This window comes from Homo sapiens, chromosome 10 (genome assembly GCF_000001405.40).
Source record: "Homo sapiens chromosome 10, GRCh38.p14 Primary Assembly".
NCBI lineage: Eukaryota > Metazoa > Chordata > Mammalia > Primates > Hominidae > Homo > Homo sapiens.
Window position 1 is genome coordinate 113,883,554 of NC_000010.11, and position 24,725 is coordinate 113,908,278.

The 24,725-nt window shown below is 35.7% G+C and overlaps 1 protein-coding gene across 2 annotated transcripts in view; it reads left to right on the forward strand.

Moving 5' to 3' along the window:
• NHLRC2 (NHL repeat containing 2) overlaps positions 1-24,725 on the forward strand; it is a 62,534-nt gene that overhangs the window by 28,893 nt on the left and 8,916 nt on the right. The window contains exons 5-11 of one of the 2 annotated variants that reach the window (XM_011539769.4): positions 698-827; positions 14,557-14,656; positions 18,113-18,344; positions 18,918-19,040; positions 19,974-20,183; positions 21,264-21,483; positions 23,673-24,709. In XM_011539769.4, the coding sequence (XP_011538071.1) occupies positions 698-827; positions 14,557-14,656; positions 18,113-18,344; positions 18,918-19,040; positions 19,974-20,183; positions 21,264-21,483; positions 23,673-23,680 (1,023 nt within the window). In that variant the 3' untranslated portion in view covers positions 23,681-24,709. Of the gene's footprint in view, positions 1-697; positions 828-14,556; positions 14,657-18,112; positions 18,345-18,917; positions 19,041-19,973; positions 20,184-21,263; positions 21,484-23,672; positions 24,710-24,725 lie in introns of those variants that run through there. The other variant, NM_198514.4, reaches the window with a different exon arrangement.

A 24,725-nucleotide genomic window follows, 5' to 3' on the forward strand; every position in this document is an offset into this window, starting at 1 on the left:
TGTGTGTTTGAAAATTTTCCCAATACATTGTTGGGGAGAGGGTCTCAGGAGATGAAAGCAGAACATATTTTCCCAGTAGAATACATTAGTTTTTCAGTTTATAAAGTAAAGTCCGTAAAGTGTCATGGAACTGCCTGGGTTCAGGTCCCAGATTCTTGACTTACTAACTGTGGGACATTGAAAAAGTTACTTAATGATCTGTGTTTTAGTTTTCTCTAAAATATTAAAATCGTCACACAGTTATGAGCATGGCTGGATGGCTGGTTGGCTTGCTCACTATTGGATTAGTGCTTGGCACATGTAAGTTTTAATGTGTGTCAATTACTAGCTGAGCACAACTGAAATATGTGCATTTAATTTTTAGAAACATGTATTTTGCTACATTGTGTTTTAAAATTTCATTTTAAAATTTTTGTTTAGTTAAGATGAGGTCAATGCCAGATCTGCTGGAGGCATGATGGGAGATGGGGATAAGAGGGGAAAAGTAGAGGAATGGACAGGTGGGATATGAAAGGGACTGATTATGTGCATTTGAATAAGAAGTTCATTCTATAATTGATTGGCCTTTTTTCATAATAAAACTTTGTACTGCACATACACTCTAAATGTTCTATTGACTATTGAAAATCTTTACACAGCAAAAGACAAAAGCAAAAGTAACATTCATTGCATAAAACCATCCTTTGAATTTCTATAGATTGACCTAGAAGCTGAGAAGGTGAGCACTGTAGCTGGTATTGGAATTCAAGGTACAGATAAAGAAGGTGGAGCAAAAGGAGAACAACAACCCATTAGTTCCCCTTGGGATGTAGTTTTTGGAACATCAGGTATGTGAACTTTTGATATTAAATGTAAAGGTAAATTTTACTTCATGTAAGATTTAAAAATATTCTTGAGGTGGTCATTTGGATTCCATTACTAGTTATTTTATTTTATACTTTTATACCTATGCCTCAGAGTTTGTTAATTGTGTAAAAACAAAGCTAGCAGTAATATAGATATATATATACTAGAGTATGTATTATATATATTACATATTTTATCTATAAGATAGACTATGTGTTACTCTAAAGAATTATATATTAGATGCACCCTCCAATTAATGTAGTTCTGAATTTCTTATACTGAAAGGATTATAGTATCAGAACTTCAAAAGGTTATTCATGAACAGTAATCAGTAATAATAAAAATAAATTTATTCATAAATAAGGAACTTATAGTGTCATTATATACTCTAGTTTGAAAAAGAAATCAAAGAGGCAGCTGCTTTTGCTTTAGATTTAAAAAATTTATATTAAAGTATGATAACTTCTTTAAACTTTTACCCTAGTGAATTGTGTAGACATTGATAATGAATGAAACTTAATGTTATCTTTATTATCTATATTAATTGACTAAAAGAAGTCCAGGAGTACTCTTATTAGTATTTTTATTTTTTATTGGCTCTCAGTGATACTGAGATGGTCATCTACATGTCTAAAATTGGATTGATGAGTAAACAAAGTTAGAATATGTCGAAAATGTAATTTTGGACTAAATGGTTGGTGTTGTCTTCATATATTTAAAGAGTATATAAGTACCAGCTTAGTTGAAAAGCTTTACATTTGAGGTAACTTTCTTTTATGATGCCAATTTAATTATGATTCAAACACCCTACTTTTTGGTTGTTATTAACTTTTATGAAGCACTTAATACTCATAAAATAAATGAGTGAACTTCTAGTACTACCCGCACTTAACACTTAAGTATTTTGTGTAGGTTATTTTTGAGAATTCTACTTATGGAATTGTATGTTGTAAACATAATTTGTTTCATAGCTCACCGAAGGGGATAGTATAGTAGGAGCAGTGCATCCAACTAAAGGGATACTTCATATGTAGAGAATTTTGAAATATTAATACAGTGAACTAAAATTCAGTCTCCATTTTATTACCATGCATTAGCAATTCTAAATAATTTCAGGGCTAAATCTTCACCAGTACTTTTCACTTTTACCTCCCTGCCTTATTTGCTCTACTTTTGATTATTTTTGCTAAATCGTATTTTAGTATGATGTTATTTATTACATGAGTTGTTCTATAGTGCAAGTAAACAAACTACAGCTACATCTAGCAGCATGGACAAATATAGCAAGGGATATTTTGAGTGATAAAAGAAAGTTACAGAATATGTACAATATAATTTCTTTGTATGTAGAAATCTACAATATGATTTCTTTTATAGCAAGTACAATAGCATTTAATACAAGCATTGGGAGATCCATTCAGACATAATAAAGTTAAAAAGTAAGAAGAATGATAAATGTACATTTTTATACTAGTGGTTCCTTATGGGAAGAGGAGCAATTAGGTAAGAAAAAGAAATAAAAGGCATCCATATGGGAAAAGAAAAGTGAAATTGTCTCTATTTGCTGATGACATGATTTTATATGTAGAAAATCCTTATGACTCTACCAAAAGACTATTAGAGCTGATAAATTTTGTAAAGTTGAAGATTACAAAATCAACATACAAAAATTAATAGTGTTTCTATATACTAACAGTGAACTATCCAAAAAGGAAATTATGGAAACAATTTCATTGACAGCAGCATTTAAAAAAGTAAATATTTAAGAGTAAATTTAACCAAGGAGGTGGAAAGATCTGTACACAGAAAACTATAAAACATTGATGAAATAATTTGAAGAAGACAAATAAATGGAGAGATATTCCATGTTCATGGATGGGAAGAATTAATATTGTTAAAATGTTCATACTACCCAAACCATTATACAGATTCAGTGTAATTTCTATCAAAACTGTGTTGTGATTTTTCTTAGAAATAGAAAAAAACTATCTTAAAATGTGTATGGAACTAGAAAAGATCCTGAATAGCCAAAACAGTCTTGAGCAGAAAGAACAAAGCTGGAAGCATCACACTTCCTGATTTCAAGCTATGAAGCTATTGTAATCAAAATGGCATGGTACTGTTATAAAAACACACATATCAACCAATATAACAGGATAGAAAACCCAGAAATAAACCCAAGTATTTACAGTCAAATGATTTTCAACAAAAGTGCCAAGAACACACAATGAGGAAAGGACAATTCGTTCCATAAATGGTGTTGGGAAAACTGGATATCCACATGCAGATGAATGAAATTGGACTATATCATATACAAAAACCAACTCAAAATAGATTAAAGACTCACAAGGCCTGAAATGGTAAAGCTACAAGAAGAAAACAGGAAAAGCTCCACAGCATTGATCTGGGCAATGAATGATTTCTTGGATAGGACTCCAAAAACACAGGCAACGAAAGCAAAAATAGACCAGTGGGATTGCATCAAACTAAAAAGCTCTATACAGCAAAGAAAACAGTTAACAGAATGAAGAGACAACCTATGGGTTGGGAGAAAATATCTGCAAACCATATAACCAATAAGGGGCTAATATCCAAAATATGTAAGGAACTCAACTCAATATCAAGAAAACAACCTAACTAAAATATAGGGAAAGGGTATCACAAACATTTCTCAAAAGAGATATGAATGGTAAGCAGATATATGAGAAAATATTCATCATCTCTAATCATCAAGGAAATGAGAATTAAAGCAATGATGTGATATTACCTCACACCTGTTAGAATGACTTTATCAAAAAGACAAATGATAAATGTTGATGAGGATGCGGAAAAAAGAGAACCTTTGTACACTGTTGGGATTGTAAATTAATACAGACATTTTGGAAAATAGTATGGAGGTGGCTGAAAAAACTAAAAATAGAATATTTATATGATCCATCAGTCTGACTTAACAAAGGCATTTAAATTGCTGTGTCATAGAGATATTTGCACTCCCATATTTATTTCAGCAGTATTCACAATTGCTAAGATATGGAGGCAACCCAAGTGTCCATCAGTGGATGAATGGTTAAAGAAAATGTATATCTAAGGCTGGGCATGGTGGCTCATGCCTGTAATCCCAGCACTTTGGGAGGCTGAGGCGGCCAGATCACCTGAGGTCAGGAGTTCAAGACCAGCCTCGCCAACGTGGTGAAGCCCCGTCTATACAAGAATACAAAAATTAGCTGGGCGTGATAGTAGATGCCTGTAAAAATCCTAGCTACTTGGGAGGCTGAGGTGGGAGAATCACTTGAACCCGGGAGGCGGAGGTTGCAGTGAGCCAAGATCATGCCACTGCACTGCAGCCTGGGCAACAGAGCAAGACTCTGTCTCTAAAAAAACAAAAAGAAAATGTATATCTATACACTGGAATACTATACAGCTTTAAATACTGTCATTCATGACAACATGGATGGAAGCAGAGGACATTATGCTAAGTGAAATAAGCCAAACACAGACAGACAGATACTGTATGATCTTACTTGTGGAATCTAAAAATGTCAATCTTAGGCCGGGCATGATGGCTCATGCCTATAATCCCAGCACTTTGGGAGGCTAAGGTGAGAGGATTTCTTAAGGCCAGGAGTTTGAGACCAGTCTGGTCAACATAGCAAGACACTATTTCTACAAAAGAAATTTTAAAATAAAAAGTAAATTTAAAAAAATTGTAAGAAAATCTCAGAAAAAGAACGTAGGAAGGTGGTTGCTAGAGGCTAGGAATAAGGGAAGGTATGGGGAAAGGGAAGAGGTTGATCAAAGGGTACAAAGTTTCAATTGGAGGAATAAGTTTTAGAGATAATTGTGCACTGCATGGTGACTGACTTGTAGTTATTAATGTGTATTTCACAGCTGCTAAAAGAATAAATATTTAACATTTGCACCACACAGAAAAAAATGTTGGTATATTCATAGATATATTATTTAGCTTGATTGAATCTTTCTACAGTATACACATAGATCAAAACATGACATTGTACCCCACGAATGTACACAATTATTATTGGTCAATTAAAAATTTGAAAAAGATGTAGGAAAGGGACTAGAAATATCTCATTATTTTAAATCTACATGTAGTATGTAAATGCATGTGTTTATGTATTTTAAATGGTATCTGAATATTTAACCTGACTATGCCGTATAGTTATAAAAATAATTAATATAAAGTGACTTTTACAAAATTACATTTTATCTGTGTTCATTTTTTAATTGTCATTCTTAATGTGGTCAGAACATCATGCACCAAAAATAATTACTACAGTAAGTTCATTTTTTCAGCAGATACATTGTAATGTTTCTAAAATGTGTATCAGGTCTGTGTTGACTCCATTTGTACCAGACAACAACCTGAAAGACGTTTAGCATAAAGGTTGAAACTCCTATCAGTATCTTTTTTTTTTTTTTTTTTTGAGACTGAGGCTCGCCATATCACCTAGGCTGGAGTGCAGTGACGTGATCTCGGCTCACTGCAACCTCTGCCTGTCGGGTTCAAGCAATTCTCCTGCCTCAGCCTCCCAAGTAGCTGAGATTACAGGTGTGCACCACCATGCCTGGCTAATTTTTGTATTTTTAGTAGAGATGGGGTTTCACCATGTTGGCCAGGCTGTTCTCTAACTCCTGACCTCTAGTGATTTGCCCGCCTTGGCCTCCCAAAGTGCTGGGATTACAGGTATGAGCCACTGCGCCCAGCCAAAACCCCTATCAGTATCTAAGTACTTTAAGACTTTACCTGATTTTGAGTCATTTATAGAAAGGATAACGTGCCAGAATCCCATTAACCTTTCTTGGCCCTTTAATCAACATTTTCCCTAGATAGAAGTTTAGCCATTCTTCTACAACCTTTAATGGTTGAAATCCAACTATTTAGTATGCTAGTCTGATAATCTACAGTGTTCGTATTTATGTGCTTCAATAAATGCTTCTCTGACTCGCATTATTAATATGATATAAAATACCATGAAAATATTTTTGCTTTAAAAAAATCAGATGACACGGAGTTTTGAAGGAATAAATTTGATGCAGTATGACTAGTACATTTTTATTTTGTTAAAATAAGTTATATCTTTATGTCTAAAATTTGAGAGAAGATTCTTATACTGCCTTATCACATTGACTTGGTGTTGATTTTTTTTAGGTTAATTAGGTATAATTTATATACAGTAAAATTTACCCTTATTAGGTATATAATTCTATGAAATTTGACAAAGAAGTGCAGTCTTGTAACTTTTACCACAGTCAAGATACAGAATATTTTCATCCCAAAAAGTTATTTCATAGCCTGTTGTTGAGTCTCCCCCCGCCATCACCACACTCACTGCAGCAACTGGCAGCAGTGATCTCTTTCCTGTTCTCTGTCATCTTTCATGTCTGGCTTCTTCCATTTAGCATAATGTTTTTGAGATTCATCCCTGTGGTTCCATGTATCAGTAATTTGTTCTCTTTTATCACTGAGTAGTAGTTCGTTGTATGGCTCTACCACAGTTTGTTTATTCATTCACCAGTTAATAGACATTTGAAGGTATTTCTAGTTTTCAGTGGCTATAGAAAACCTCCATAAACGTTTGTGCACAGTTTTTGTTTTGTGGTAATATGCATTCACTTCTCTTGGGCAAATGCCTAAGAATGAGATTACTGGGTCATATGGTAAGTGAATGTGTACAAGAAACTGCCAGACTGTTTTCCACAGTGGCTGTTTTCTTAAAGTCCCAAATGTCTGTTGGGAGTCATTGCTTCTGCCTGAAGAACTTCTTATGACACAGGTCTGCTGGCAGTGATTTTTCTTGCCTTTATTCTGGTCTGAAAAAGTATCTAGCTTTCATTTTTGAAAGTTATTTTTATTGCGTATGTGAATCTGGATTAACATTTTTTTCTTTTACTATTTTAAAGATATTACTCCATTGTCTTTTGACTTACATAGTTTTCCACAAGACACCTGTTTTAATATTATCTCTTGTTCTTTATATGTAAAGTGTATTTTTTTCTCTGGTTGCTTTCAAGATTTTATCTTTGGTTTTCAGCAGTTTGATATATCTAAGAATTATCCTGCTTGGAGTTCTTGAATCTGTGGTTTGATGTTCATTATTGTCAAGAAATTCTCACTCATTATCTCTTCAGATATTTTTTTCTGCCCCTTTCTGTCTTTCTCTTTCTGGGACTTCAGTTACTCATGTTAGATTTCTTCTTAATATTATATTCAATAACTCTTGCATATTGTGTTCTTTTTATTCATTCTTCTTATTTTTTCTTTTTGTACTAGTAATTTCTACCAATTTATCTTCAGTCATTAATTCTTTCTTCAGCTGTGTCTAGTCAACTGATGAGCCTGTTGTATTAGTCCATTCTCATACTGCTATAAAGATACTACCTGAGACTAGGTAGTTTATAAAGAAAGGAGGTTTAATTAACTCACAGTTCCACATGGCTGGGGAGGCCTCAGGAAACTTGAAATCACAGCAGAAGATGAGGAGGAAACAAGGCACATCTTACTTAGCAGGCAGCCAAGAGAGAGTACCAAGGGGGAAGTGCCAGACAGTTACTAAGCAACCAGATCTCGTAAGAACTCATTCACTATCATGAGAACAGCAAGAGGGAAACTACCCCCATGATCCAATCACTTTCCACCAGGTCCCTCCCTCGACTTGTGGGGATTACAATTCAGATTACAATTCGAGATGAGATTTGGGTGGGAACACGGCCAAACCATATCATTTGTAGAAGGAATTTTTCATCTCTAATATTATGCCTTTTTAATATAGCATTTGTATTTCTTACAGATTCATCTCTGCTGAAATTCCTTATCTATTTAGGTGTGTTGACCACCTTTTTCTCTAGGTTCTTTAACATACTATGCATAGTTATTTCAAAGTCTGTATTAGATAGTTCCAAATCTGGGGACTATCCTCGAGTCTGTTTCTGATCATTCCTTTGTTACTCGGAAGCGGGTAATGTTTTTGCTTTTATGTGTGTCTTCTCATTATTTATTATATGTCAGTCATCTTGTATAAAACAATAGAGGCTGAGATAAATAGTACTTATGTTATAATTATGAAAGATTGAGTCAATTTGGTCAGGAGCTGAGCTGGGCCTTGGTTTTATTATTGCTATGTCAATGCACCACATGTTTTAAATTCCTCTAGCTGGGCAGTTGTTGCCTTCTGATTTTGCCTCAGTACATGGGCCTAGATTAGCTGGAGGGTTTTCTTAGTGTTAGTGCTCTACCCTCAGCTTTCAGTCGTCCCTGTACAATGAAGCCACATGGTGGTTCCCTCTCTCCACTCTTGCAGCCGTCCCAGGGATAGACTGCTACTCGTTGTTATTCTGCCCCAGGCTTGTGTTGTGTATGGGGATGTTCTCTGTTGTTCAGCCTCAGCCTTGGGAAGGCCCTGAGTGCCTAGGCCTTGAGGAAAGGATGTGGGGAGCTTTTTCATTGTTGCTGTTCCTCTCTCTGGCAGCCAGAATCTGTCTTGTGTCTGTGATTGGTTTGGGGAGCCTCCTGTTTCTCCCCTAGCAGAATGAGAACTCTGCTTGGTGTCAGTAGAGCATTTTTTCATCTACCTTTTCCACAGCTGTAAATGGTATTTTCCTGTGCTCTGTGGAAAGTGACAGGCTTTGCTGCCCTTCCCTAGTGGCTTAAGACTTTGATTCATAAGAGGTTTAGAGACTTTGTAGAAACAAATCTGTGTAGAAGCACTGATGGAGAATTTCACGGATGCTCTTAGGAGGGTTCTAGTCATAGGTACTTAAAATGACAGAATTTTTTTAAAGCTGGATTTCAGGTAATTTTCATGTTGATATTTCTTTTGTTGATTTTATTTGTTTTCTAAAAATATGTCTAATCTCTACTGATAATTATGAGTGAGTTTTGCCTTTAAAAATATTTTCAGAACCTTTTCAGCCTCTGTCATTGTCGTTTTAAAAAATTTTTAATTTGTGATTGTTGAAAGTCAGTAATATTAAGTGCACTCTTTTTTGTAATTTTACCTTCTATTTGAGATTGGGAGGTATGTATGAGGTTTGTTGTGTAGGTGTAAGTATACTCTTAATTTAAAATGGAAATGTTCATGATTACCACATTCTTTTTAGAGGGAACAAATCTAATACCCATACTCAGTGATGGAACTGTGTGCTTTGGAGGCCACACTCCAGGATGAACAGTTGTAAATTGTTAATATGACTCTTGTTACTTTGATAGACATTATAAATGCCAGCCCTCTTTTTTTTTTTTTAACTTTCATTTTGTTTACAAAAACAAACTCTTCAGTGCTCAGGGTAAAAATTTCTGGAGAAGTGGTCTAGCACGGTGGCTGTGAGCAAGGACTCTGGAGCCAGACCAGCTAGGTTTGCAGCTCCACATCTTAGTAGTTGTGTGACTTTGGACAAGTTTCATAGCCTCTTTATACCTCAACTTCCCCATCTAAATTGATGATACAAATAGTGCCTACCTGAAAGGCTTACCATGAGGATAAGAATTAATATATGTAAAGCACTTAGAACAGTGTCTGGTGCATAGAAAGCATAATATAATATACATGTTTGCTATTATCACTGTTTTCTATAAGATAAGAATTTTGTCATAAAGTGTCATGAACAGATGCTGATGATCTGAACCAAACCAAAAATGGGAAGGCAAGGGACTAGAAAATAACTTTAAAGACATTATCCAACCATAGACCATTCCCAGGGGTACAGGGAGAGAAAGGCAGAGGGGTAAACCTCACTATGCATCCCGGAGTAGGAGGCTGTGGGTACATTTAATCAGATCCCTGTTTCTGATCACAGACAGAAATGCACTTGAGTACTTGTTACCAGAGCTAAGTCTGCATGGGTCAGAGGCAGAAGGAGGGTGAAAAACGGGCAAGTAGAGAACTGAACCAAATAGTTCCTTCATTCTCATCAGAACACTCATAATCTAGAGTCAGATTCACTAATGAAGTCGTTTTCCAAGTTTAGCTGGGTGAATTTCAGCAAATTATTTAGCCTCTTTGAAGCTGGCTTTTTATAAAATGAAGATGATGATAATAAGACTTGTTAAGGTTGTTAAATTGAAGGAAATAATCCACGTAAAATTATTAGCTCGGTGCCATCAACACAGAAAGTGACCTGGGTGATGATTATCATTATCCTCATAAGTTGGTATGTAGAATTCCAAACACCTGAACCCTGACCTGACACTGCTGCTGCTTCTCTACTTTTTCTCTTTCCTCGGGCATCTGAAGGAAATAAGTACACAGAGACCAAAACTAAACCAATGCCCATACTTTATCTATCACTGGGAAGCTTTTGCCTTATTATAGTAAGCCCCAGCTGAGCTAGACCGACCTGTTTGGAGAACTAGATAACAAAGTTAAATTTGATCTTTCACTCAGCTATGCACCAACATAGCTCTCCTTTGCCAAGACAGAGGCTCTAAAAGCAAGCTAAGAAAAGCAAATGTTTTTGTTCCTAAAGCTTAGAGCTAAATTTGCCTAACTCACCCTTATGAGATTTTCTTAGAGTGGGACATTGATGTGAAAGAGAAAGAAAAATGCAGTTTTCAAGGTGGGAACAGGATGACAAACCAGTTCAGAAGGAATTCTTGCAGTAATCCCTGATAGTGGCTTAGGTCAAGGTGGAGGTGGTGAGAAGTGGTCAGATTTTGAATATATTTTGAATAAGGAGCCTACATAATTTGCTGATGGATCATGTGTGACATGTGAGAAAAAGGAGGAATTAAAGATGACTCCAAGGCTTATGACCTGAGAAGCTAAAAGGATGGAGTCCTTTTATTTTCATTTACTTGGTCAACCTTCCAGTCTTGTTACCCATAAGGTCCTAACATTGGCTGGAGCTGACTTTTCAATCAAGATAAGTTGTATAAAAATATCTGTCTATATTTCTCTCAATAATGATTCTTAGTGTAGAAGGCTTATAAATCTTTTTTACCCTTAGGTGTTTGATGTTTTTGAATGTCGTTATAAATTTTCTTGTATATTTGCTGCTGTAAACCGATAAAAGAATTTATCCTTGCTTATTGACCCTGTACCCAACAACATTGCTAAATTCCTGTATAAAATTGTGAAGATTTTGTGTGCATAGTTATGTCATCTGCTAATAACTACAGTTTTATTTCTAATCTTTTTGTGCTTTGCTTCTTTTTCCTTCTTTGTTGCACAAACTAGGACCTCCATAAGGTGTTAAATAGAAGTGTTGATAGTAGGTATCTTTGTCTCATTTTTATTCTCGGGGATGTTTGTAGGATTTTGTTCTTAAGTAGGATGTTTGCTGTGACTTTCTTAAAAATGTTCTTTATAAGATTAAATAAATTGCCTTCTGATCCTAGTTTGCTGAGTTTTTATCATGAATGGAAGCTTGTTGGAGATGTTGAAAGGCTTTATTGTTATGTGTGGCTTTGGAGTTCTCAGCCCTATCAGATCCCAGATCCCCTTCCTATAATACATTTTATGAAAAGCCTCCTTTACCATACCTAAAGTGAAATTCATAGGTAGTATAATCCACCTGTGCTATATATTGATATATACATAATATAAATATAGAGAAGAAATAAGCATAATTTATAATAAAATAGTGTAGTCATTATGTAAGTGATCTGGCATGACTATATTATCATATGATATATTACCCATCAAATATCCACAGCATTTTTTAGGGTGGGCTGCCACTCCCATTCAGCATCATTGTTTGAGAGGATAATAGTACAGGTTCACATCTATAGCAGACTTCTGGGATTAGAGATGAATCATTAGTACTATTAGGAAATACCAACCATCATTAGGATAGCTTTAGGGCTTTTTTTCTTTTTTTGTGGTTTCTAGGGGAAAGTTTACTCATTCAACAAATACCTACTGAGCATTTGGCATGTGCCAGGCACTATTCTATGTGCTGCTAATAAAACTGTGAATAAAACAAAGCTGCTGGCCTCTTAGACCTTATGCTCAGTAGAGGAGAAAGGCAGTAAATTAATAAATATGTAACATGTAAGATAGTGATAAATTCTACAGTGAAAAATAGGCAAGGTAAGGAGCTAAGAATGATGGGTGTGTGGTATTAGATAAGGGGAGTAGGGAAGAAGCTTGAGCAGAGATCTGAATGTTCATATCTGGATGTAAGCTTTCTAGGATGAGAAAGGAGGGAGCACACTAAGGTATAGAAGTTGAAAGACAGCAAATTATTTAGCACCTAACATGATGCCTGGCACCATGTTAGGTGCTTTGCTTACACTGTTTTATTCCTTCCAGTAATCTTATGTAGAGAGTGATGATGTGCTCATTTTACAGATGAGGAAATGGAGGCACACACATTAGAAAGTGATGTAGCTACTACAATTCAAATCCAGACCCACCTGGTTCCAAAGCTAAGGAATTGGTGAAGGAATGCTTTCAGGAGCCCTCTTCTTTTAGTGGTCTATCACATTACCATAGGAGTAATTACATTTCATTGAGAAAAATGGGAGAACTGGGTAGAGGACTTGAAAACATAATCATTTACATTTTTTCATGTAGCATTTTAAAAATATTTGAACCTCCACAATGAGATACCATCTCACACCAGTTAGAATGGCGATCATTAAAAAGTCAGGAAACAGCAGGTGCTGGAGAGGATGTGGAGAAATAGGAACACTTTTACACTGTTGGTGGGACTGTAAACTAGTTCAACCATTGTGGAAGTCAGTGTGGCGATTCCTCAGGGATCTAGAACTAGAAATACCATTTGACCCAGCAATCCTATTACTGGGTATATACCCAAAGGACTATAAATCATGCTACTATAAAGACACATGCACGTGTATGTTTATTGCGGCATTATTCACAATAGCAAAGACTTGGAACCAACTCAAATGTCCAACAATGATAGACTGGATTAAGAAAATGTGGCACATATACACCATGGAATACTATGCAGCCATAAAAAAGGATGAGTTCATGTCCTTTGTAGGGACATGGATGAAATTGGAAATCATCATTCTCAGTAAACTATGGCAAGAACAAAAAACCAAACACCGCATATTCTCACTCATAGGTGGGAATTGAACAATGAGAACACATGGACACAGGAAGGGGAACATAACACTCTGGGGACTGTTGTGGGGTGGGGGGAGGGGGGAGGGATAGCATTGGGAGATATACCAAATGCTAGATGATGAGTTAGTGGGTGCAGCGCACCAGCATGGCACATGTATACAAATGTAACTAACCTGCACGTTGTGCACATGTACCCTAAAACTTAAAGTGTAATAATAATAAATAAATAAATAAAAGAAAAAAAAGTATTTGAACTGGCTGGGCATGGTGGCTCATGAGCGCCTGTAATCCTAGCACTTTGGGAGGCTGAGGTGGGCAGATCACGAGGTTAGGAGATCGAGACCATCCTGGCTAACACAGTGAAACCCCGTCTCTACTAAAAATACAAAAAATTAGCCGGGCATGGTGGCGGGTGCCTGTAGTCCCAGCTACTCGGGAGGCTGAGGCAGGAGAATGGCATGAACCTGGGAGGCGGAGCTTGCAGTGAGCCGAGATTGCTCCACTGCACTCCAGCCTGGGGGACGGAGTGAGACTCCGCCTCAAAAAAAAAAAAAAAAATTTTGAACCAATAAATGCTTTGAAATATTGTGAATGGAAAACATTCCAAATTAAGTTAGAATGAATAAGATTATTCATTTTCGTGGGCTTTCCATGTTTTTATTTCTCTTACCTACTGAAGTTTTTGTTTTGCTTGGTCATTTCCATAGTTGATAATATCATTGACTATGCAGGAACATAAAAGTCATTTTCATTGTTTAATACTAAAAGTTTATTATCTTAGATTTATGGTAGATTTAACAGAAATAAGCAATTCTAAACTGAGTGCTTTCTTAGGTACCAAATATGATCTGTTGGTAATACATGCATTATTAATACTCACTGTAAAATTAATGAACTTCTTAAGTGGAAGAGGTTGTATTATACTTTTTACCCTCTATGGTGTCTATTGAAGGGCTGTTCAGTTTGTAAATGTATTTATGTTTTCCTAGTACAAATATGTAAAATTAAGGTCCAGATTCACTAAATGATCATGGCTAACATTTGAGTGATATTGCCTCCAAGCATTACTCTAAGTGCATCGTGTGCTTTGAGCCTTTTATTTGGATGCCAGTATATGTAACATAACAGAATATTTTATGAGCTTAGGTTTCCTGTTCATTTTCGTAGTCCCGGGTTGTGGCTCTAGAATAACTGAAACATTGTGGTATGCTAAAAATTAATTGTGGAAAGCTTTTGATGTAGTTTTAAGGTGATTAAGCAGAGACAGTCCCCAGAATATATGTGTGCCAGTGTCACTTTTAATAGTTTATGTCATGTAAAATAAGAAATCAGATGTTTAAAACATTGTTAATGCTCGTTGTAAAATTAACAAACTGCTGAGGCAGAGTTCAGATGCAGAGATGCAGAGGACTTACTGCTGGTAAGAATACTTTGGATTCCTGTGAAATTGTTGTGGGTAAAATTACAAGTCTAACAAAGTAAACCTTTCACAAGAAAACAAAATTTTCAAAGATAACTTGAAACATTGCAGATATTTTTATTTATCAGATGATTCACAAACATATTGTTATCCTCCATAAATTTAACATTTTAAAACCATTGGAGTGTTTGTATTAACCAGATATGTATATAATAATAATGATTTATTTTTATAAAGGTTCAGAGGTCCAAAGAGGTGACATTTTATGGATAGCCATGGCAGGGACTCATCAGATATGGGCACTCCTGCTGGACTCTGGCAAACTGCCAAAGAAAAAGTAAGTGACAGCCTCTCTCTTTGAGTAGACTGTACTACTTGGTGTTCATATAATTTCTTTTTTCAAAATCACCATCCTCACTGTACCAGTCAGGATGTGCTAGGTTGTACTGCCATAGCACACAACGCAGATTCTCAGTGACTTAAAACAAGGCGTGTTTATTGCTCACTCACATGGGTTCACTGGGGAGCACTCCTCTGTTGCCCAGGCTGATGAAACAGCCTGGAGCTTTCGGGAGCTTCGCCAGTCATCCTGGCACAGTGAGAGAGAAAGAGGTAGTAAGTCACTCACTGACTGTTAAAATTTCTACTCAGAAGTGACACACGTCACTTCTACTTACATTTTATCAGCCAGAGTAAGTCTTAGGGCCACACTTCACTTCATGGAACCTGCAAAGAATCATTCTCCTTACTGTCTAGAAAGAGAACTAAGAATATTCAGTGGACCCTTATCTTTTAAGACATAGTTGAACTATCTCTAATCATTCATTCAAACAGTTGAATACCACATAGCAGAGTGCTTAATAACTCAGTTTTTGTAGTCAGGCCTGAGGTTGAATCCTGGCTCTGCCATTTACTATCTGTGTGAGTTTAGGAGAGCCACTTTAACTTTCAAAGCCTCAGTTTCCTTATTTATATTACCTCATAGGCTTGCTTTGAGAATTAATAATATATGTGGAGAGCTTGGCATAGTACCTAACATGTACAGTAAACATAGGTAGCTTTGCTGTCACAAGGATATAAGGATGAAAGGGTAGTGTCTGCAAAGTTTCTCATATTTTTTTTCCTTAGACCCTTTCCTCTTCCCCCAATACCCCAGGCAGAACTGGCCATACTCTTCTCTGTGACCTCACTGTACCTGGTGTATAGTTACATCACTGCACTAAGTTTTCCTGCCCCAACCCGCTGCCCCTTCCTCTTTCTCTCTCTTCTCTCCTTTTGATTGTTTTTATTTTTAGCCATTTCCTCCTACTAGTCTCTTAAAGGAAAGGATCCTCTCCCATTCATTTTTCTGTCCCTTGTACCTAGCACAGTATTTGGTACCTAAGAGGAGCTCAGTAACGGTTTGAGGATAAATGAATAAAAGCCGTTAACCGGAAAGGCTGTCACGTAGCCATGGAAAATGATCATTGCAAGTTACCGTTATTAATAGAAAGCTGCTTTTATATAGATCCTTCAAAATAGCAGATATTCCAAATAGTGTGTATGTTTGTGCATGTTGCTTTGGACACACTTATGTAATGTTTTAAGACATTTAATCGTTTAGCAAATATTTATGCTAGGCAATAGGGATGAAATATGCTCACTATGTTAAGGATACAATGAAAAGATGTGGTTGTCATCAGTGAACTTACAGAGGAAGAATCAGATCAGCAAACAATTAAAAGTTAGTGTGTGCAAAAGGAATCGCTGCAAATTGAAATTGTTCGGCTGGGTGCGGTGGGTCACGCCTGTAATCCCAGCACTTTGGGGGGCCGAGGCAGGCAGATCACAAGGTCAGTAGTTCGAGACCAGAATGACAATATGGTGAAACCCCGTCTCTACTAAAAATAGAAAAAGTTAGCTGGGCGTGGTGGCGCTTGCCTGTAATCCCAGCTACTCAGGAGGCTGTGGCAGGAGAATCGCTTGAACCCAGGAGGCGGAAGGTTGCAGTGAGCTGAGATTGTGCCACTGCACTCCAGCCAGGACGACAGAGTGAGACTCCGTTTAAAAAAAAAAAAATTGAAATTGTTCCTTATATAAGTAAGAGGAAGACGCAACATCAGTAAGATTTGAGTTGTCAAGGAGGGCTTCTTGGAAGAGGCAACTAAACAGTGACCTGATAAGAGTATAGGAGTTAGGGAGAGTGGAAAGTTTTCCAGGCAAGAATTGGCACTAGTGATGTCAGTAGAAGCCAGATCACACTGTGCCTTGTGAGTACTTTTAGGGATCTGAATATTCTACAAGCCTTTTTAGAAAGGTTTAAGCTGGGAAGTGACATGATTAGATTTGTGTTTTTGAAAGAACATTGGCAGCACTCAGAGTGGAACAAGACTAGAGACAGAGATAAGAGATACCACTGAGGAGCCTATTGCTGTTATCCAGGCAAGAGATGATAGTAGCCTGAACAGTGAGATTACCAATAAGATTTTACATGAGGCATAATTATAAACAGCAGAGAAGTAACAGAAGTTGCCAGAATATGCTGTTCTGGGTGATGGCTGTTTTAGGCATAGATGATTCAGAGCTGCCTGAATTTCCTCATAAGTAGAGTTGTCACTCTCCTTCTTAATAGGAAATTGGCACTAGGACCACACTGACCTGTGTTTTAATTTTAAGGATGTATTATCTTTATTACCGATCTTCAGGTAGTAATGACCCTTAGCATTTTAAAAGTTATTGTTTCTCCCTACTCTTTTCTTTATTTAATTAAGGAAACTCCTTTTTAAAGTATTAAGACTCCTTGTAGACTCCTTTCAATTAATTTGTTCAGCATATTAGTTATTACATATATTGTACTTGCTATGTTTATATGTTTCTTGAATAAGTGGCCATATTTTATGCGTGCTAAATCCCTTTGCCTCTGTCCCCTGCTCCCTACCTAACTTATTATGGGAACATATTAGCCAGTAAGTGATGGTGAGTTCAGACTTTTGCATGTTGTACCATATTCAGAAATGATTTACACAGACTCTCATTTTGTGTCCCGAGTCAGCTGCTTCCCTTCCCTCAACACAACACACTACCATGTCTTTTTTACAGTCTCTCTGGAATAAACTTAGAAACCAGGATCTAAAGCTTTCTCTGCATTACAAAAGGAATCATTGCAATAGTTCCTTAAATAGAAATTTCCCTAATGTATATAAGAAATTGATTTGTACAATCGATATAATTGTACATAATTATCCCATGTAATTTTAAGATAATTATGTACAATTATATTATTTTTCATATAATAGTAATGTCTGACCTGGCCAACTTTCAAAAACTATTCTTTAATTCCTTTTGCTGGTCTCTGTTTATATATAAGAACACAAAACATTTTTAATGAAAATTGAAGCTTTAAACTATCAAGAGCTAGATGATCTTTTTAGTTCCCTTTCCGAACCTCATATTGCATGAAACTAAGAAGTTAAGAATTTAAGGTAGTAAAAACAACCTATCTCATCAATAATCTGATCATTATTTTTATCTTATAATTCTATCAGGGATTTGTCGTTTAACATTTGAAAGTGATTTCAGTTTTGTGTGTATCAAAGTAAAGTAAGAAGTTCCCTACACAGTGGGTAAATAAGTTAATGGTTGGAAAAATGATAATGAAAGCTGACTTGAACAATTTAACTAGACCAAGATCACTAGTTTGTTTTTTTAGGAGGCTTATCACTTTTGATTTGATTATTCACATTCATTTATTTAAGAACTAAATTGCACACAATATACCACATGTTGACTCCACCTATGAACTTGTCTTTTTCAGTGAGTTAACAAAAGGAACCTGCCTTAGGTTTGCTGGAAGTGGAAATGAAGAGAATCGAAACAATGCCTATCCTCACAAGGCAGGTTTTGCCCAACCTTCAGGCCTTTCCTTGGCCTCTGAAGATCCCTGGAGCTGCTTGTTTGTAGCAGATAGTGAGAGCAGTACAGTGAGAACCGTTTCACTGAAAGATGGAGCAGTGAAGCACCTCGTAGGAGGAGAAAGAGACCCCATGGTAATGACAGTCACTCTTGCACAGTGCGCTCGGACACTGAGCAAGCTGTCAATTTTGTGAATTATGGAAAGTTAATAAGATTTAAGAGAGACCATCCTTGGCCTATCTGCGAATCAAAATGAAAGTCAGACCAAAGGAAATGTGAATGTAAAGCAACGTGAGGAACACACCATCTAAGAAAAGTGAACTGACTCTACTTTATTATGTATAAATGTTAAGGTTTCAGGGAGAAAGAAAGGATGAAGCATTGATTATTGGAGAAAAGAAAAAAATGTAAATTAGATATTGGGCAGTGGGGTGGAAAGAGCACCAGACTAGTGGACTTGACCTATTCCTGACCAGATGTAGTATTGTGAGTAAAACTACTAAGCACCACCAATTAATACAGGTTCAAAATACTGTCATTTTTTTTCTAATCTGAATGAAGTATCCAACCCTATTTATATGAAAATCAGCATTTTCCCTTTTAACTTAAATACCATTTGTAACTGTTTGAATTTTCCTTCATATTCTAACAAAACACTGTAAAAATTATAATAACTGCTGTTTCTTTTCTTTTAAAAAAAATTAAAGAATTTATTTGCTTTTGGTGATGTTGATGGAGTAGGAATCAATGCAAAGCTTCAACACCCCCTTGGAGTAACATGGGACAAAAAAAGGAATTTACTTTATGTTGCAGACTCCTACAATCACAAGGTGAGTCGTGACAGAATTATATAATATCTTGCTTTTTGTGTGTGGCATTTAAAATGCTGAAAGATCTGTGAGCCTCCTACAACTGCCACTCTAAAATATAGAAAGGAGTAACAGTCTTTGACAACTATAACCCAGCCTGTTCTGCTCTTTTCTTGGTCCTTTCTTTGCCAAGAGGTTATGATGGTATTCTGAACTAGGGAAAGCACAGAACCAGTTCCAATGGCAATAGCCAACAGTTGTGAATTGCAACCCATCAAAGCTGCTTAGTAACATATTCAGTATATCAAGAGAAGGCAAGTAGCAGGGAAATTTATATGTCATCTAACAAATGAACGTTTTTGAGCTGTTGCATAGTTACAGTGCTTGTTAGTAAATAATTTTGTTTTCAGCATTTCCATTTTTGTCTATTAAATTGTCTTAAGTTTTATTGCATTTTTACTTTTTACAAAAATCAGTGGATAATAAATGTTCATGCAGTACTTCATGATGTGAGACCATAAATTTAATATAATTGAGACATAACTGTCAATCATTAAGTTTAACAAAGGTAGCAAATTCTCAGGCAATGCTAGATGCTCAGGAAGACAAAGTCAGTTCAGTTGTGAAAGTGTGTCCCATTGTGAAGAAAAACAATTCAATAAAAAAAAATTTTTTTTAATTCCAGAAATAACTTCATCAAAGATTGCTTCCAGAAGACAAGATGGAGCTAAGGATTTTACATAGTCTTTAGTTCTTAGAATAGAATATCTCCCCTTAGACTGCAATTTGAATGTTTGGCTTTTCAAGAAAATATGGAAATAACTATTCCTTTTGTGAGACTTATTGAGAATATTAATGGCAATCAGAAATTAGCTTGCTTGATACCATACTCTTCCATACAACAAACATGAGATTGATCTTCAGTTATATAAGTTTTTGTTCTTTCTTTTTTAGATTAAAGTTGTGGATCCAAAAACAAAAAACTGTACAACATTAGCAGGAACTGGAGACACAAATAATGTTACCAGTTCCAGTTTTACAGAGTCAACTTTTAATGAACCAGGAGGCTTGTGTATTGGAGAGAATGGAGAATTATTATATGTAGCAGACACCAATAATCATCAAATTAAAGTGATGGATTTAGAAACTAAAATGGTATCTGTGGTAAGTAATTTTAAAATATAAGTTAAAGAATGTGGTTTTAAGAATGATACTAAGATCCTCACAGCACTGACAGAGGCATTTTTGGTTAGACCATCTCCAGGAGAGTATTAAGTGGATGCTTCTGTTGTATTCTTTGACAAAGAGACCAGCAGGACTGCTTTAAGGATATCCTTTTATTCTTAAAATAAAAGTTCCATCTGTGCTGAGAGTTTGAGAAAAATACTGGAAATTGGAGATAATCTAATGAACCTTCAAGAAAAAAAAAAGGAGAGGACTCAGATCTGTTTTTAAGTGTACAGACATACTGACATACACTACATACACCTGCTCTGTGGGTTGGGTTATTTAGCTTATTGTTTTTGTTTTTTTTTTTTTTTCAGTGATCTTTAGATTAACATGTAACCTTTGTTTGCCTGTGATGAATCCATTACCAAATAATCTAACAAAAGCTTTAGAAGCCACTTTCTCAAGACATCGAAAATAAGATTGTGGAAGAAACTTAAATGAGTTATAGTCAGTTTTTAAAGATATGGACGTGGTTTCTTATAGAATTTTCAAGGGGAAATGTCTATTATAAACTAACTCTTGATGTATGACATTTACCTGAAAAAAATGCAACAGTTTTTTTCTGAAAAACTGGTAATTTGCACGGTATATTTTTAAAAGAAACATAGATTACTATTGCAACATAAATGTCATTTCTCTTCACGTAGATCTCTGATATAAGATGAATAACATCTTCTTATAGTTGACAATGAAAATTATAAGAAAATGTATATCTAGCATGTTTAAATTTATAAACTTTTGCTTTAATTTCCTGCCGTCTATATACATTGGACAGTTACTTTAATTCTGCCTCATTCATAAGTGTTGGGTTTTGTTGTTGTCGCTAAGATAAACTTTCTCTGTGTCTACGAAAATAATCTTGAGGGCATCTAACACATTCTAATTCAAACTAGAATGGCGATTAGTTTCATTGACATAGAACTTCATTATTCTACTAAAGTCTAAAAATATGCTCTCATTCTATAATTAATATAAAGTTCTTGTGTTTTAATAACAGATTTTCTTATTTCCTAGCTCCCCATCTTCAGATCTGAAAATGCTGTGGTAGATGGCCCGTTCCTAGTAGAAAAACAGAAGACATTACCCAAACTACCTAAATCTGCTCCAAGCATTAGGCTTTCCCCCGTGACTGCGTGTGCTGGCCAGACTCTTCAGTTCAAACTCAGATTAGACCTCCCATCAGGATCAAAGCTAACTGAAGGAGTATCCAGTTGCTGGTTTCTAACAGCTGAAGGTATGAGTATAAGCTTGCAAATACTAATACATCATATATTCTTGATGTTTAATCTAGTTATTTTTTATTTGTTAGGTGATATTTTTACTCTGTATAGGCAAGATTTGAAGATCATATGAACAAATGAATCCAGATCCAACCCCACATTGGCCATTTGCTTTACTCATCAAGAGTCTTTCTTCCCTTTTATTAAAGAACAGTGTAACTCACCAAAAGTTACAAGTCAGTTGTTAGCATGATTTCTTGGAATGTGGGTTTTCCTATACCTCATCCCTTATTCTGATCCTGTTCTTCATTCTATTCTTGTTCCAAAAAGAATCTTAGAGTTAAAAAGTCTGAAATAGAGAAAGTGGAGCCCTCGTATTTAACATCTTTTTCTGTGACTCTTCCTTTCAGTCACTCTTGGGCATTCCTCCCTTTCTTCTATTTGTGAATCACAGTATGAGCTAGCTCCTTATTTCATTAATCTATGGTAAGGAATCAGTATACTGCTTGCCTTGCAGTATGCATTCCAACATCTGTAACCTGGTGGACAAAAATTTTAAAGTGAAATTTTAGTGGTTCAGAACTTCTAAATTACAACTTGTCTCTAATGATATTCCTCTGTCCTGGTCTCCCACGCTCTTTCACACTTTCTCACTCAATTTTCCATTTCCTTCCCAACTCCTCCTCCTTCATACCCTCTCACACACTTTTCTTTTGTACATTACCCAAATCCTGGGTAATTCATTCCTTCTTACCTTCAACTTTCTCAGGGCAGCAGCCACTGGCCTGCAATTATAATATCAACTTAGTGTCTAAACCAAGAGGATAACGGTATCTTGGTAGACTGGCTGGGAGGAACTGCTGGTTAGTGTTTGGGAGGCTGGTTCTAGGGTGATTGAGTCTGTAGGGAAACCACCCCTTGTCACTTCCCACAAGGGGGAAGGCTAACCATGTACTAGGACCTTTGGAGCTTGCTTTGTAGACAGAAGAATACTCAAACCCTGGCCACTCCATAGCCTTTTGTAGGTTCAGAGCAAGTTCTAGACTGCCAATTTAAGTCTGGAAGTATTACATCAGTTGGAGAACATTAATTTTTCTCAGTGTAACTGTAAGAGCAGTCACTGTTAGAGCAGTGTATTAAATGGTGTCACTGTAGGAGCAGTGTACTAATTTTTAAAATAGGATATTGACAGATTAACATTGGTCTGCATTGTCAGACACACTAATTAATATTGAGTCATTGGGATATAAAATACAGATAGTATTCAAATAAAGTAGTCTATAGAGACTTTATCTAATTTGTCCAAGATATGGGCCCCATTTTTATTATATAGTAGCAGATAATTTTCAGGCAATAATCCTAATAATTTAAGGTTTTTGAATATTATAGAGTACATTTGTACACTTATGTTTAAAGGACATTTTCTCTTTTGGCTTGTTATTTAGAAACACTTATTTTTAGCCAAATTTTGGTCTGTATAATCTTAAAGAAGTTAGAATATATGCAAGTTTTAAGCCAAAAAAAAAAAGGCAGCATAAAAGCACCACATGTGTTGTAACTTCACAAATTGTGTGTGTGATATATATGACAAATATCTAAAGAAACATTTTCTGTTTTATTTCTAGATTTGGACATTAAAATAGCTCAGTATTATTTTCTTTGTTTGATTTAAAATATAAGAAATTGGCCAGGCGTGGTGGCTCACGCCTGTAATCCCAGCACTTTGGGAGACAGAGGCAGGCAGATCATGAGGTCAGGAGATCGAGACCATCCTGGCTAACACGGTGAAACCCATCTCTACTAAAAATACAAAAAATTAGCCGAGTGTGGTAGTGGGGTAGTCCCAGCTACTCAGGAGGCTGAGGCAGGAGAATGGCGTGAACCCGGGAGGGAGGCAGAGCTCGCAGTGAGCCAAGCTCACGCCACTGCACTCTAGCCTGGGTGACAGAGCGAGACTCCGTCTCAAAAAATAATAAATAAAATATAAGAAGTTCTCTACTAATCTCTCTAGCAAAATCATGCATTAGATAAAAGATACTCTCTAACCCAGGAATAAACAAAGAAAGCCAAAGAGTTTTAAAGAGAATTTAAAAAGAATTCTTTAAAAGCTTCAGCATAGAAGTTTTGTACTTATCTCTCTAGATTCTTATCTTTCACCTTCGTACTCTTATTTGACATATTTTTCTCAAATTTGATTTTTCAGTAAACTAAAGCAATAAACTAAAAGAGACATCAAGAGGACTGATAAAGGCAGGCACTCTGAGTCGGTTTACTTACCCTGAGAACAAAAGAAAGAGACAGAAAAGCTAAAAAGTAGACAGCATTTCATCACACTCAGTAGGTGGTCCAGTTTTTGTACAGATGAGTCATTAGAAAATGTTCAGTGTTCTCCATTTACATGGTGGGAAAGCATTTCATATATTTCCCAAATGCTGGCTCTTGAGGGCTGCCACCTTTTTAGGCTGAATGTCTGTATGTGTCTGTGCTTCCCCAGTATGACATGTGTGTTCCTTCTAAGAGAAAGTCGAGATGAATAAAGACATTTAAAGATGATTTTAATTCTTGAGGGCTTAAAATTTGTTAGTGGTTTATTCGATTTTTGTTATAGATAGTCTGTTTATTTCTAGGAAGAGTTTTACGTATTATAATGAGATATACAAAATCTCTTGGTTTTTACATTACTTAAGCCCACAGAGAATAGATATGCAATGGTACCTGTTTCTAAATAAAGTGTGTGTGTATTTTTAAATTATTTTTAGATATTCAATAATTCATTATTAACCAGAAAGTCACTACAGAGTTGCACATACATTTGTATTCCCTAGATAAAATTTTATTTTGTAGTTTTTATATCCCTAAAGACTTTCATCTCTTTGGTAAAAATGATCCATTTTCTCAAGTGTCGTATGTTTATTTCTAAAATTTAATAGGTTTTATTTTTAACTTTAGAGACTAAGGCTTTATAGCCATATTTGCAATATTCAGCTTGATTTTAATAAGAGTAAATGTGTAATTTATTTTATAGTATCCAAAGGAAGAACTATAATAATTAGATGTAATAATCATCAGACTGGGAACTTCTAATGAGTGGTCAGTATATGTTATGTATATTTATGTCCTTCCCACAGACCGCAATGCCTGGCACTTAGAGATTTTTTAATAAATATTTGTCGATCGAGTTTATCTAGTCTTCATAAGATGTTCCCAGTTTTCTACTTATCTTATACAGTCTTAATAATTTCATTTTTGATTTTTA